Below are 16,358 nucleotides of genomic sequence, written 5' to 3' on the forward strand. Positions count from 1 at the left end.
CCAACCCATTTGTTTTCAGCAACCCCAAAGGAAAACCGGTACCCATGAAGGAGGTGCACCCACCCTCCCTTCCCCACCCACAGCCCCTAGCAACTTCCAATCTGCTTTCTGTCTTGTGGATTTACTCATTGTGGGTATTTCATGTTAGATGTCACCTATGCTAAAATATAGTTGTCCCTGAGATAGGCCCCAGGCACAGAGCTCTAAGTGTCCATTTCTCAAGGTTCTCAACCCCCTGGGGGTTCTGTTCCTCTTCCTCACTCTGGGTTTACCCCACCCGTTCTCCCAGCAAACATACTCCACCAATCCACCCCCTCCAGGGGCATGTCTTCCCTTTCGCCAAGTGGACGGCCCTTCCATGCCCCCTCAGGGCATCCCATCTGCATTCCACCCGGTAGTGTCACGCCAGTGCTTCCTGTGATGCCTGTAACTTGTTCTCAGACAGCTCATGGCTTACTGAGGGTACAAACCACATGGCATAGTGAAAAAAGTACAGGTTTTACTGTCCAAGAAAGCTAGATTTCTGACCGGATGCGATGGCTCACGCCTGTAATCCCAGCACTTTGGGAGGCTGAGGCGGGCAGATCACCTGAGGCCAAGAGTTCGAGACCAGCCTGGCCAACAAGGTGAAACCCCATCCCTACTAAAAATATCACAATTAGCCAGGCATGGTGGCAGGTGCCTGTAATCTCAGCTGCTCGGCAGGCTGAGGAAGGAGAATCGCTTGAACTAAGGCACAGAGGAGCCGACATTGCGCCATTATGTGCCAGCCTGGGCAGCAGAGCAAAACTCTATCTCAAAAAAAAACAAAAAAAAAAAAAACAAGCTCAATTTCTCTCCTTGTCCCCTCTCTAAGGGGTGGTGGCCATAAACTGGGATACACAATGATGTTCTCCTTGTCCTCTCGTTGGCAGCTCCAGAAGTATTCCAGGTGTACATGGACAGAGGCCCCGGATACTCGTACCCTGTCGACTGGTGGTCCCTGGGCATCACAGCCTATGAGCTGCTGCGGGGCTGGGTAAGACAGGCACCTGTGCGGTACACACGAGGGGCTGTGCAGTGGGGGCTCACGTTGTACCTGGACGGGCAGAGTCGGCAGGGCCCGCGGTGCAGGAAGGAGCACTGGGGGAGTCACTGCCCCCCAGGTTTCAGTCCTGATGCCTGTGTGCCGCCTATGAACGCCCTGAACTTCTGGTCCAACCCACTCATTGTACAGATGGGAAAGAGGCATTCAGTGGGGGAGGGTCTTACACAAAGGCCCACAGCGGATCAGTGACAAGTCAAACATCAAAGCGCCTTGGCCTCGTGGTTTCAAACACTGTCCTCTTTGAACCCACAACACAAGGTCTTCATGTCTGATTTTCTAGCTGATTGGAAAATCTTTAAAGGTGAAGACCATGCTTCTTTTTTCTCTTTGTTTCACATCTTCCCTGAATATCTAACTCAGTGTCCTATAAAAATGGGACATTCAATCAATACGTATTTGTATTTTATTGCATTTAAATTTACAAGCTGAAGATGATTAATGGGGCTATTTGGTGGCTGTAATAACACATTTTTTTGTTTGAGCAGAAAGTATTATGTCTAGGCCAGGCACAGTGGCTCAGCACTGTAATCCCAGCACTTTGGGAGGCTGAGGTGGGAGGATTGCTTGAGCCCAGGAATTTGAGACCAGCCTGGGAAACATAGGGAAATTACATCTCTACAAATAATAATAATTTAAAAAAAATAGCTGAGCGTGGTGGCACTCGCTTGTAGTCTCAGCTACTTGGGAGGCTGAGGCAGGAGAATCACTTGAGCCTGGGAGGTCAAGGCTGCAGTGAGCCATGATGGCACCACTGCACTCTAGCCTAGGTGACAGAGTGAGGCCCTGTCTCAGAAAAAGAAAGTACTTTGACTAAAATTCATTTTGAGGTGTTATTTCTTTGCACAAGTATCATTTGAAAAGGATGTCACTTCACCATGTCTCAGGACCATGGTTTCCTCATTGTTATAACGGGGATAATAAGATCCTTTCTGTCTATTTAGCGGAGCTGGAGTTTTAGGATTCCTGTGTTCCTGGACTGTGGGAGACATGGTTTGCCTGAGACTCATCTCCATAGCACCAGTGCCCAGCACAGAGCTGACAGAAGCAAAGAGCCAGATTCTCCCACAGGCTACAGTTTTAATGTTGTTTCAGTCATTTACATACATGCATATTCATGCCCATAGGAGGTGCCTTCCTTGAGGGCATGATGGTGTCTTATTCACTGTGGGTGTCCCATTGCATGGTTGTAATGGGTGTTGACTGAATGTTTGTTGAATGAATGAGTGATGAGAGCAGTTTGTACACCATGAACGCTGTGAGTGCAAATAAGTATTATTTGTCACCCTGTAGTTAAGCAACAATTTTCTGCTCTTGATCTCAGTTATTTCCCCTGAATTCCTCAAAAACATAATTATTATACATTGCATTCTTAGAATTCAAAGAAAATATGAGCTTGTTCACTGAATGAAAAGAATTAATGTCCCGCAGATTTACCTGTGAGCTGCTGCGGGGCTGCATAAGACAGGTGCCTGTGTGGTGTTCCTGCTCGGTTCGTTTCCTGTTAGCTGTTTCCTTTGATATATATACTCAGAGGAGGAATATGAGGGTCCACGATGTCGTAGGAACCAGAACACACCGGCATCCGCCAGAGGCTGTTAATCTTATGTAATCAATCACAGCAATGACCTTGGCGAGCATTTGCCCTAAACGTGACTGGGCTCCTGCCAACAGAAAAGATATTGGCAGTCATTCCTCATGGGTCAGTGCAATCAAAGATGATAGCTTGGCAAAAAGCCTCAAGGATGGAGTGGTCCTTGCTGATTCACAAATAAACTATTTTATTTTATTTTTTAATTCTTCTGAGTTTTCTGCTGAAAGATCCAGATGCTATTTTCAAGGATGGTGCTTCTTGGAAGAGGAAGAAGCAAATGATGGGGGATCCAGGCCTTTGGCATGGAGACAAAGTAATGGAATGAAAGAACACCACCTGTTACGTACTACTGTAAATCTTTCTCCCAGATATATTTGACTGGCTGCTTCTTTGACCCAAAGGACAACAGGTTTATGCAAATAATTTATTCTCTGTTTTTCATACTGGAAACCGTTGATTTAGTCAAAAAGCTGTGCTGAAAAACACTCATATTTATCCATGGACTACGTAAATTTAGGAGTTATCCCCCCTCTTGGAATTCCTCAGTGATGTCAATGACAACATCCTTGGGTAGGATCCAGGGAGCTCCTTTCGTCCAAAAGAGGAAAGAAAGTCATAGTGGAGGCTAGGCACGGTGACTCAGATCTGTAATCCCAGTTCTTTGGGAGGCCGAGGAGGGCGGATCACCTGAGGTCGGAGATCGAAACAAGCCTTGCCAATATGGTGAAACCCTGCCTCTACTAAAAATACAAAAAAATTATCCTGGCATGGTGGCGGGTGCCTGTAATCGCAGCTAGTCGAGAGTCTGAGGCAGGAGAATTGCTTGAACCCGGGAAGCGGAGGTTGCAGTGAGCCAAGATCGTGCCACTGCACTCTAGCCTGGGTGTGACAGAGCAAGACTCTGTCTCACATAAAAAGGTTATAGTGGGAATTCCCAATGTTGTTCTAGGATCTTAAAGTTGGAATGCATTGAAAATAATGGGTGGAAAATTGATATTAATATGGCTTGTTAGCCAGGGACCCAGGAAAACAGCTGTTTCTCCTCATGAGGAGCCAAGCATGCTTTATGGACAGCAGAGGGACCAAGTCCTGTTGGCAGGTTTGAGACCACAGTGCAGACCAGGGTTCTCCAACCCCTGGGGCTGGGTACTGGCCTGTGGCCTGTTAGGAACTGGCCGCACAGCAGAGCAGGGGGTGAAGGTGAATGGCAAGTGAGCCAGGGAAGCTTCCTCTGTATTTAGAGCTGCTCCCCGTCACTCACATCACCACCTGAGCTCCACCTCCTGTCAGGTCAGCAGTAGCATTAGACTCTCATGGGAGTGCAAACCCTCTTGTGAACTGTGCATGCGAGGGACCTAGGGTGCGTGCACCTTATGAGAATCTAATGCCTGATGATCTGTCACTGTCTCCCATCACCCCCAGATGCGACTGCCTAGTTGTAGGAAAACCAGCTCAGGGCTCCCACTGATTCTACATTATGGTGAGTTGTATAATTATTTAATTATATATTACAATATCATAATAATAAAGTGTAGAATAAATGTAATGCACTTGGATCACCCTGAAACCATCCCCGCAACCCTAGTCCATGGAAAAAAATGTCTTCCACAAAACCAGTCCCTGGTGCCAAAAATATTGGGAATCACTGATGCAGAGAACCCTGTGCTTTTGGTTGGAGCTTGTAGGCTAGACAAGAGACCTAAGTAGGATCCAACTTCTCTCTGACCCAAACTAGAATCTTAGTTCTTACCCTGGCAGGCATGCTGATTGAAAGAAAAAGGCCCAAGTAGGGGCCACTCCCCAGAATTCCTTTTGGTGCCCCAGTCACCCTGGCACTCTGACTACTGCCTCTCCAGAGAACACTATGGAAAGAGATATGAGGAGATCTCCCTTCCCCTGACCATATCCACAGAGAAGAGATGGACAGATCTTTAGCCACCCATTGTCCCAACAAACCTCAAAGTCTCTCTGACAGGTGAGCACCCATCTGTTCATTGATTATCCTCAGGATCCAGGGAGCGTTGTACCTCCAGAAAGAATCTTTTTCACTCTTGAACAGCTGTAATGGCTAGAAATTATTTTCCCCTTACTCAGTCGAAAGCTGCTTCCTTATAATAGAGAAAAATAACCTTTAGAGGAATCTCACAGGTTCAAACCCTGGCTCTAACCAGGTACCCCATCTGGGATCCTAAGCAAGGCTTTTAAACAGACTGAATATTCAGAATCCGTTTGTATTAACAAGAAGAAATTAGTAATTATATCTACCCAATAGGATTGCTTTGAGAATTAAATGATTCTGATTATGTTAATTACCCAGCTCCAAGACTGATGAATGGCTGGCACTCAGGAAACATCCCCCTATTACTTCTACCCTGGGAGGAACTGCTGGAAAGCCTGTGTCCTTCCCAATTTAGCATCTTCAAGCACTAGAGGCAGGCACTGAGAGCAGAGGCTGGATCACACCTGCTTGCTGACCATTAGCAAGTAAGGCCAATGGGCTTCATGAGCAGAGATGGGTTCCCATCCACACTCTGTGCTTCTTGGTGTTGTGATTTGGGCTAAGTCACTTAACTTCATCTGAGCCCTGGCTTCCTCATTCACAAAAGAAGGTTTATCAGGCCCACCTGCAGGGTCATGTGAGATTACATGAGAAAATGTAATCAGGGCATAGGCGGTGTCTGGCACACAGGAGATGTGCGGATTATTGTGCAAATAAGTAAATACACACACAACGATGATTCCACAAGACAGGTAGATGCAGGTAAAGCTCTGCTGACTTAGGTTTAGAGGAGCAGGGGAGAATTTCAGGGGGAGAAGACATTGAAGTTCGGTCACATATGAATGGCTGGAAGGAATAATGTGAGCGCAGGTAGAGAAGTGGAAGCTAGGGCTGATTCAACAAACATTTTGGCCTACCCACCTGTCAGAAGGATAGTGAGGGGACAGTCTATAAAGGACCTGAGGCCAGCTGGAGGCATTTGGCTTTACTCTGTAGGTAATGTGGTACTATCCATGGTACCTAAGCAGAGAAGTGACAGCACAGTGGTCATATTATACATAGAACCACATATGTCTGGGTTCAAATCCTGACTTTGCCACCTAGACTCTCAATGGTCTTCAGTGAGCCTGTTTCTTATCTATAAAATGGGGAGAACAGTAGTACAGGCCCGTGGTACAGGTTTCTCCACCTCGGCACTATGGACATTTGAGGCCAGATGATTTTTTGTGGTGCGGGACTGTCCTGTGCATTGTTAGGATGTCCAGCAATATCACTGGCCTCCACCCATCAGATGCCAGCAGAACTCCCCACCCAGTTATGACAATCCAAAATGACTCCAAACATTGCCACATATCCCCTGGGGGACAGTTGTCCCTGATTGAGAACCACTGCCATAGAACAACCAGGAGGACTAAGTGGGATCCTGCAGGTGAGGCCATTAGCACAATGCATTGCACCCCCATGGAGTGGGATTTCAAGGAACCCTCGCCCCTTTCACATCACCTAGGACTTCTACCCTGGGAGGACCTGCTTGAAAGCCTGCATCCTTCCCACTTTAGCACCCTTCAACCACTAGAGACAGGCACGGAGAGCAGAGGCTGGATCATACCTGTTTGCTGACCATTAGCATGTAAGGCCTATGGGCTTCATGAGCAGAGATGTGTTCCCATCCACATTCTGTGCTTCTTGGTGCCCACTCCATGGGGACATGAGGACTTTACCCTCTTTGCTCACCCATCAACCACCTCCCTGACCTGGTGTTAGCCTTGCCTTTGACCCCAGTCAGCACTTCTCCTTAGGAATGGGTAGACAGAGAAGGTTGAGGGTACAGAGAGGCCAGCGAGTGGAGGGAGGTTGCCCAGAGCTCCGCCGAGAGGTGAGAGAGCGGCACTGAGTACCGCTGGATGTACAAGGCGTGGGTGGGCTGAACCTGGAGAAACAGGACCAGGTAACCTCACCAAGGGAGCCAGTAGAGCACTGTGCCAGGAGTCACAAGCCTGGGAGGTAATGGAGTCTGTGATCTCCATTCAAAGGAGGAGGAAGGACCTTTGTGAATTGTTCAGTGTTTTCAAGCTGTGCTTCTCAGACTCTAGGACCCTGCAGAGATGATTCAACGGTTCCAGGGGCAGGGAAAGTGTTTCTCTGGGGTTTGGAGGTTTAAATTGCCTAAGGAACTGTTTTTCACTTTCATCTGTTCTGTGTTTGGGATTTTGAGTAAAAAGATTTTGGGAAAAAAAAATTGGATTAGATGGTCTCCAAGGCCCAGCTCAACTTTAACAGTGAAAATGACAGACATCCGGCAATTCTTTTCCTCTGTCTTCTATTTTTTGGTAAATTGGCAAAATTTTTTTTAGAAACCGAGTTTCCTGGAATAGAGACATACCCACACTCCATAATAAGTATATCCAATGTCCCACTGCTAAAATTGCTTTTACCAGCAGTACATGGAATTACTTTACCTTATAAATACCACCTGGTATTCTGACACAGCATATCCTAAGGCCAGCGAGTGAGAGAACTCAGCATCAGTACAAGCAGACAGGATATTGATCTTAATATTTGCCAGTCATCTTATAAAAGAACCTACGTTTCTCTACAACCACTCAAACAGATGACGGCTGAACCTGGTGCCTAAAGCTGTGGAACTTGTTTTAGTCATCATGTTCCGAACTCATTTCTAAATGTATTTCCTGCACTGGCTTCCTAGTGCATTGGAGTTATTATTATCATCATTGTTTTTGTAATTGGTCCGGTTGCCTCCAGAAGGAGAGAGAATTACAGAGATTAGGGAGAGAGAGAGAGAGAGAGAGTAGCTCATGTGGAGGTCCAGTGGAATAGCAGAATTGATGAGCACCTTGAATGACCAATAAGGAAACAGGGAATGAAATGTAAATGATAAGAAAACATTTACATTTGTTTCTGGCTGGTGTTCAAGTTGGGTGCTTGGATTCTGGGTCTCTGGTGGCAATGCAGAAAGACCAGGGGATGAGAATCGGGGACATTGGGAAAGTCTCTTTTCATCTCCCAGCCTCAGTTTCCTGACGTTTGAAATGAGGGATGAAGTGCCCCATCATTGTCCAGGGTCTTTGCACCTCCTTTTCAGGGTAGGGGTGGGACTGTTTTGGGCAGAACTGTTTATTGAAAAGCAAAAAAGACAGGAAGGAGCAATTATAAATAGTCCAAAACGGCTGGGTGCAGTGGCTTACGTCTGTAATCCCAGCACTCTGGGAGGCTGAGACGGGCAGATCACCTGAGGTGAGGAGTTCGAGACCAACCTGGCCAACATGGTAAAACCCGGTCTCTACTAAAAATAAAAAAGATTAGTGGGGCATGGTGACGCGTGCCTGTAATCCCAGCTACTTGGGAGACTGAGGCAGGAGAATCGCTTGAACCTGGCAGGTGGAGGTTGCAGTGAGCCGAGATCATACCATTGCACTCCAGTCTAGGCGACAAGAGTGAAACTCCATCTAAAAAAAAAGAAGTCCAAAACTGAACTCAGCCCCAGCTCATCTCCCAGTGGTAGCCCTGAGCTCTGGGTCTCCTGTCCCTGCCCCTGTGGAAATTATAGAGAACTGCCCTTCCGCAAACATGCCCAGCAGCCCCATAGATTCCCTCCCCAGCACTCATTCCACCCCCGACCTCTCTTTATTGCCCATCTCTCTCCAAGACAGTGAGCTCAGTGCAGGAGGGACCATGTCTGTCCCGCTCATGCCGGGCCCCATCTACAGAGGTCACCAGTTCATCACAGGAGCAGAGTCAAAGTCAGCCACCTCCTGGAGTGAGAGCTCTGTAGGGCTGCTGTTCATTACCTGTGATGGCCGTAACTAAGATCCACACACTGGGTGGCTTAAACAGAAATTATTCTCTCACAGTTCTGAAGGCCAGAAGTCTGAGATGAAGTGGTTGGCAGGGCTTGTTCCTCCTGAGGCTGAGGGAAGGACCTATTCCAGGCCTCTCTGCTTGGCTTGTGGATGGCTGTCTTGTTCACATCGTCTTTCCTCTATGTGTCTTTCTGTGCCATAAAGTCCCCCTTTTATACGGACTCAGGTCACGTAGAATTAGGACCAACTCTAATGACTCGATTGGATTACTTCTAGAAAGAGCCTATGTCCAAATAAGGTCACATTCTGAGGTCCTGGGGGCTAGGACTTTAGCATATGAATTTGGGGGACACAATTTCCCCTGTAGCAGCAGTGGTCAGAGGTGAGCCTTGGCAATTCACACTGCCTGGCCTTTCACCTCAGTGCCCAGCTCCAGGATATAGTGCCTCGGTTTTGTCTTCTGTGAAATGGTCATGTTAACAGTCACCAGCTCATAAAGATTCTATGAGCTTTGTGTCACGTAAGGGGCATTTTCAGTTAAGATCGGCTCTCATCATTCTAACTATGGTAGTTGTTTCTGGTGAAGTGCGAAGGGATCTCACACACGCAATGATGGGCAGAAAATGCTCGTTCATGGAAGTAACTTTCCCATTAGATTAAAAAAAATTGAAGAAAGATTTTTTAAGTGTTAGTGTATCAAGTTAACTAGACTTTCTAGAGAGCCCACGGGTTTTGGTTTTGCTCTGCCTATTATACGGTGAAATGGACAGGTCCTCACTCAATTAACAGATAAGAGAGAAGGTGCCACTCAGGAAAAAAAGCTCCCTTCTGGGTGTGCACATCTGAGGGGGCAGAGGCGCACCCCTGAGGGCCAACATCTTCTCCAGGGCCTCCTGTTTGGTAAAGATAAAGGTGTCCCTTCACTCCAGGGAACTGTAGCCCTACCAAGGATCGGGACCCCTCGCCCCTTTGGGCGGGCGCCTTCTGTCTGCAGCAGCCCTGTGGGAATTGCCGTTCCATGAGGTTGGAGCCAGGACCTTAAGTGCCGCAGTGTTACCCACACAACATGTAGGCTCGATCACGTGGTGGTGACAGTCCAATGACCACAACCTGGGAGGGTGGCCAGTAAGGTCAGTGCAAGCGGATCATGCTTCTACATATGCCGCATGCATAGGAAATCAGCTCCTCCCCTGGCGGGGTTTTCAGCATGGAGATAAGGGGAGTTCATTCCCAACTCTGGCATCTCCAGATCCTACTGGTTTGCAGGGCTGGGCTTCTTGGAACTTTTCCGAAGCAAGAACTCAAGGTGCAGCCAGTACAAGTGAGTGTTTTTTCACAGTGTGTACCTGGAAACCCCAAACCCAGGGACCAAGGTGGCAGTGGGATCCCAGTATGGCGTCTGACTCAGGGTCAGCGTTCGCTCAGCACCTGCGGAGGGACTGAGACGTTCACTGTCGCCATGCTCTGGGACCCTGCTCGATGACAGACACTACTGGGGCCCCGAGAACACAGAAATGAGCGTGGTCAAATTCCCCCTTTGAGCAGCCCACAGCTTCGTGGAGGAGACAGACAGCACTAATTTTACTGGCACATATTAATGGCAGTCAACTTCATATGGGTTAATCACGAATTCATCGCTCAGATTTCTCCAGGATCAGTTTGTTGTACCACCACACGTGCCAGGGAAACTGTTGTTTTTGTCATCCCAAGACATGTGGCCATGATACCAACCTGAAAACATCTTGGACCGCAGTTCAGCTGGAGAGGCTCTGGGAGATAATGTTCATGGGGGTTGGGGCAGGGGGAGCGGGGACCGGGAGTGCACTGCTGCTCAGAAGCACTCCAAGCCTTGTCCCCAGGGTCACAGTCAAGAAAATCTTCCCAAGCTTTGAGAGGGGCTTAGAAGCAAGAAACTGCACATGGCAATGTTGAGAAAACATGGTCAGGAGGCTTCATTTTCTACCAAGTTCAGAAACTGGGGGAGAGCAGAGCTTACACATCCTCACTGTAGGGAGGGGAGGACAGGTGAGAAGTCAGGGGACGAGGCTGGGGTCCTCCCATCCCTCAGCCCAACCACACCCAGACACTGGCCATCTCAGCTCTGTCCACCCCATGGGCCAGTTCGGCCCGGACAGGGAAAGTGGCGGCCAAGGCCCAGCAAGTGGGGGCTATGACTGGAGGTGTCCGTGGGTGCCTGGTGGACGGCAAGAGTCAGCCCGCAAGCCTGTGACTGGAGCAGGGACTCTGGTGTTAAGCTGCTGACAGTGAGTCCTGCCTCTGGCATTTGTGGGCTGTGTGACCTCGGTGAGCCACCCCTAACATGCTGTGGCCACAGCAGCAGCACCCACCTGCCAGGTCCTGCACTGCCCCCTGGGCCTGGTTACTGTTGGCACTTGGGTTCGGGCCACCTGCTCTGCCGTGAAAGAGAAGCACCCACTGTTACTTGAAGAGGAAGAATAAACCATCCCTCATAATCATACAATCTTAAAATGCGGACGGTGCCTTCCAATGGCTCTCTCTCTGATTCTGGCTGTTGTTCTTTGATTGCAGAGGCCGTACGAAATCCACTCGGTCACGCCCATCGATGAAATCCTCAACATGTTCAAGGTGGAGCGTGTCCACTACTCCTCCACGTGGTGCAAGGGGATGGTGGCCCTGCTGAGGAAGGTAAGGGGGCAGCTTCCAGCCTGCCCCGCCAGGGAGCTACGGTGAGTGTAGAAACAGCCATATCAGCAAACGAAGGGGTGAGAATACAAATGGCATACTCGGGGTAGAGATGATCAAATCAGCTGCGCTCAAATGCCAAATGCCGTGGAATAAACGCTGTTATGGGGGTGCGTGCAGATCAGCACACCTCGGAGGACTGTGGCGGCTCTGACCGCAAGCCCCTAGGCTCTTGTCACTCTGCTACGAGCTCCTAATAAACGGAAATAATGCATGTGGGGTTTTTTTTTTCTTTTTTTTTTTTTTTTTTTAATATACGGAGTCTCACTCTGTCGCCCAGGCTGGAGTGCAGTGGCGCAGTCTCGACTCACTGCAAGCTCCGCCTCCCGGGTTCACGCCATTTTCCTGCCTCAGCCTCCTGAGTAGCTGGGACTACAGGCACCCGCCAACACGCCCGGCTAATTTTTTGTATTTTTAGTAGAGACGGGGTTTCACCATGTTAGCCAGGATGGTCTCAATCTCCTGACCTTGTGATCCGCCAGCCTCGGCCTCCCAAAGTGCTGGGATTACAGGCGTGAGCCACCGTGCCCAGCCTGCATGTGGGTTTTTTAAATCTGCTGCACATGGTCTTTTCACTCAATGACCTTTAAGAAATTGGGTATCTCGGCTGGGCGCAGTGTCTCACGCCTGTAATTCCAGCACTTTGGGAGGCTGAGGTGGGTGGATCACATGAGGTCAGGAGTTCGAGACCAGCCTGGCCAGCATGGAGAAACCCCGTCTCTCTAAAAATACAAAAGTAGCCACCTACAAAAGTAGGTGGCACATGCCTGTAATCCCAGCTACTTGGAGGCTGAGGCAGGTGAATCACTTGAACCTGGGAGGTGGAGGTTGTGGTGAGCCAAGATCGCACCATTGCACTCCAGCCTGGGCAACAAGAGCAAAACTCTGAAAGAAGCGAGGCGAGGCGGAAGGGAGGGAGGGAGGGATGGAGGGAGAGAGGAAGGAAGGAGGGAGGGAGGGAAGGAAGGAAGGAAGGAAGGAAAGGAAAGAAGGAAGGAAGGAAGGAATCAATCTCCTTGACTTTCTGCAGGAACTGTTGCTATTAGACTAAAGCAGTGGTTCCCAAGGTATGGGCCTAGGACCAGCCAGCATCAGTGTCATGTGGGAGCCTGTTAGAAACGCACATCCTCAGGCTCCACCCAGACCTGAATCAGACACCTGGGGTGGGCCCCACTGTCTGTGTCTCCATGAGCTCTCCAGGTGGTTCTGGTGTGCACTCCAGTCCGACATGGGCGGGAGATCTTGGTGCCCTGCCTTTAAGGCTCCCTTCACATCCTCCACGATGCATGGAGCTGAGTCTTGCATGGAGCTGAGTCTTGTGTGAGGTTGGCACCCAGTTGTTTTTAAAGGAATGATGACAATAGCAGCCAGCACTGTTTAGGGTCCTGCGTTCTGGGCCATACGATGGCTCTTCTCCCTTACTCCTCCCAAGCCCTGTGAGCAGGGAAAGTGTCACTATCCCAGTACCAGAGATGAGAAAGCTGAGGCATAGGAAACCAAAATCATTCAACCAATGCCACAGAGCTATTAAAAGGCAGAAGCAGGATTTTGATCCAAACTCTCCTAACTTCAGGTCCCAGCTTTTAATCCCTACATGGCTATAATGGCTTGTTGAATTATTAATCTGTTAAATTACTTTAAAGGAAATCCACCACCTGGTTCTTGAGAGCTTGTTTGGAGGCTCTAGCAGGGCAGCACAGCTACTCATATACCCTTGACCGAAGACCGATCCTCCTCTATTGGGGATGGTCATCCTCTTTGACTGGGTGCACAGCTTTCGGAGGGATGCACATGGAGTCGTGAGAGAGCAAGGGGACACCTGCCTAGCCAGCCAGATTAGCCGAAGCAACCCTGGCAATCAATGGCATGACAGGTGTCGCAGCCAGATCACTCTCGCATCCCGTCACCTGGTTCTTATAAGTCAGTGTCTCTTAACCCTGACTGCTCATTAGAACCATGTGGAAGCCTTACATACCACCAATGCCTGCACCTCCCAGCCCACCCAAGTGACTCAGAATCTGGCCCTCAGGTCTGGACATCAGCATGTTTTCAGAACAGCTGCCCTGAACAGTGAACTTCCACATGGTATTGAAGTGGAACCTGCTTAAGTTGGCACCCACTGTTTTGGGACAGCCCCTAAAGAGTGGCAGCCATGATCAGCAGATGCAACCCCTGCTAGCTATCCCTGTGGGCTGTGACTGCAGCCACTCAATGGGCATAGGTGGGAGATTTCTGCAGTGACAGGTGTGTGTGAACTGGCAGGGGGCTCTGACTTCCAGCTCCACCTGTGGACCCTGGTGTGCCCCCCCCCCCCACCTTTCTAAGTATGTGCCAGGTCCTTACCAGTCCCATTTGGTCTCATCCTACCATGAGCTGGAAGTGGAGAAGTCTCCATTATTCCCCCTGCTTTCAGGGAGGCAATGAGCCCAGGGCACCCAGCAGCTCGCCCAAGGTCACAGCTGTTAAATGACAGTCCCGGGGCCAGGCCTCTGTCTTTTCATTCTTGGCCCCTGTGCCTTTTCAGTAGATAAGCTACAGGGTTTTGGCAAGTTGGGAGGCCCGCTGGGATGCCAGGTCATAGTCTTCAGCTGTTCTTATGCTACCTCACTCCTTATTAGCTGAAACTCAATTAGAAGAGAAGCTAAAAAGTGTCCCCTTGGCTACAAATGAGGCCACTTCATTAGGTCACAGAGATCACCTCGTAGCTGTCCAGGTATAAATTTTATTACAATTTGGTGCCTCCCATTACCAAGTTGGAAATCCTAAGATGAGGCAGCTAATTCTTTCTATTTGTAATTGGATGCTTCTCCAGACATCAGAGAGGCAGCCTGTTACAGGCTCCAGTCCCAGAAAGAAACATGGGGGCTGAAAGTCTGGTCCCTGCCCTAACAGTCCCTCACTGGATGACCTTGCAGAAGCAGCCTGACCTCTCAGTTTCTCCCTGGCTATAAAGAGATGAGTGCAGATGGCGCTTCCAACAACAGTGACCCAGACGGGGCACAACATCAATAGAGCGTGAAGAGCAGAGGCACATTAATTGCCCTGAGACCCCCTCCTTCAGAGTCCCCGCTAACCTTGAGGGATGCCCAATTCATGGAAACTCATTTGCCCTCTAACTGCAGCTCCTGACCAAGGATCCTGAGAGCCGCGTGTCCAGCCTTCATGACATACAGAGCGTGCCCTACTTGGCCGACATGAACTGGGACGCGGTGTTCAAGAAGGCACTGATGCCCGGCTTTGTGCCCAATGTGAGTGGAAGTCCCACCTGATGTCATGCCACCCCTCTGCAGGGTCCCCGCCTTGGTGCAAAGCAAGACTTTGGCAGCTGGCTAGTGAGCCCTCTGCTGGCCACTTCCACCTGAGCACCAAGGGCTTATGTCTTGCTGGAATTCAGGGTGAACTTGGGCCTGATTTCCAGGGTCCCAGCCGTACAGCTTCCCTCCTTGTGGTAGGTCCTTTGGGGGTGCCAAGCCTTCTCTCTGTCACTGAATCCCACCTCCAGGTGCTCAGGTCCAGGTGTGGGGATAGCAGGCTGATCTACCCTTCTGCCTCCACAGAGCTGACTGCCGAGTAGAGGAAGACAGGCAATGACCTACCCCGACAGGGCAGTCAGCACTTGTTGCACAAGCTCGGAAGAGGGAGAGGTGGGATGGGAGGGGCAGAGGCAGGGGCTTCTTTTAGGAAGGGTCGGCAGAGACCTAGAGGTAAAGTGAGGGAACCAGGACTGCAGGGATGGGCACTGAGCCTTCCAGGCAAAGGGATCGACAAGATCACACTCTTGAAGGCAGCAGAAAGCCTGGGTTTCAAAGAACAATTTTATAGCATTTAAGGGAATAAACCAGAGGGAATATAATAGGAAATGGGGCCAGGAGGGAACACATGCCACACCAAAAAGGCTTCCAGAGGCCACGGTCAAAGTTTTAGGTTTTGTCCCCCAGAAACTGGAGTGTTTAAGGCAGGGAAGTGAAAGCATTGGATTTACATTTTAAAGGAGGGTTCTGGCAGGAGCTGGAGGCTCCTGGGTCCTCCAGGACAGACGCTGAAAGTTTGGACCTGCCTGGAAGCCTCCTGTGGTCCCTTCCTGTTGAGCAGTTGCATTTCTCCTAGAGGGAATTGCAGAGAGCACCTGAGGAATAGTGACAATTGGGATGGAAATCCTGGGTGACATTCCAGTTCAGCCACCTCTGCCATCTGTGACCTAGGAGAGCACACCCCACCCGCTCACCTGTCCTTGCCCTGCCCGGTAGCAGTGGTGTGAGCAGGAAAGAGACAACATTTGCTCTTTGTTGTTGCCTGTTCCAGCCCCGTATTATGTGAATGGAGGTGGAGACTCCAGCCTGGAAGGCAAGAGATTTCTAGGCTGGTTCCTGGGGAGCCTCAGACGTCCCTGGCTAGTGTTTCATGTCAGATTATTTTAAAGACTTCCGTCACTCCTTTTGGTGCAAAAATAATGTCTCCCCACATCAGTTTCTCCAAGAGTGCCAGGCTTCCAGACCTTTTTCACAAACCGTGGTAGCAGCGCACACGCACGTTTCTGAACACAGACCCTCCCCAGCCTGCCCAGTGTTCACCACTGAATCCAACCGAAGCCAAGCCTGGCTGATGCTCATCTGTTCCCGTCCTCTCCCTGTGAGCAGCGTTGCATCCCCACCTGCTTAGCCAGTTCACCTGGTCCAGGGCTGGCCCTGCTCTCCCCTGAGCCCACCTTTCTCCCCACTTCCCTCGCAGGCAGGGCTCCAGACAGGCTATGGAATGGCAGGTCGCACAGGGCTTCGTCCTTCATTCTTCCAGGCCTGGCCATGTGCCGTTCCCACTGCCTGGACCTCCTTCTGCCCGCCCAGACCTGCCTAACCTTAGGGAATCTGCCCGGCTGGAAGGCTTCCTTGACCCCAGAGTGGACATGGTGCTGCCTCTGAGTTCAGAAAGCTCCCTGGCTCTTCAGACACCCCTCGGACTGCTGTGGGAACAGGCCATGGGGACAAAGTGTCCAGGGCAGGCTTAGCATAGAGTGGCTGTTCAGGTAGAGCTCTCTGCTGTTCTCCCAATATAATTATTTTAGGGTTTCACTTGGCCAACTGGGAGCTCTGTGTGCCTGTGTGGGTATGTGTGGAAGTGTGTCTGTGTGTATGCCTGTGC

The 16,358-nt window shown here is 50.0% G+C and overlaps 1 protein-coding gene and 1 pseudogene across 7 annotated transcripts in view; one reads left to right on the forward strand and one right to left on the reverse strand.

The window, feature by feature from the left end:
* STK32B (serine/threonine kinase 32B) overlaps positions 1-16,358 on the forward strand; it is a 481,604-nt gene that overhangs the window by 426,373 nt on the left and 38,873 nt on the right. For all 7 annotated transcript variants that reach the window (XM_047415924.1, XM_047415925.1, NM_001306082.2 and 4 more), the window contains 3 exons: positions 915-1,018; positions 11,049-11,165; positions 14,345-14,470. In XM_047415924.1, the coding sequence (XP_047271880.1) occupies positions 915-1,018; positions 11,049-11,165; positions 14,345-14,470 (347 nt within the window). The remainder of the gene's footprint in view (positions 1-914; positions 1,019-11,048; positions 11,166-14,344; positions 14,471-16,358) is intronic.
* RN7SKP275 (RN7SK pseudogene 275) lies at positions 12,823-13,123 on the reverse strand (annotated as a pseudogene).

This window comes from Homo sapiens, chromosome 4 (assembly GCF_000001405.40).
Source record: "Homo sapiens chromosome 4, GRCh38.p14 Primary Assembly".
NCBI lineage: Eukaryota > Metazoa > Chordata > Mammalia > Primates > Hominidae > Homo > Homo sapiens.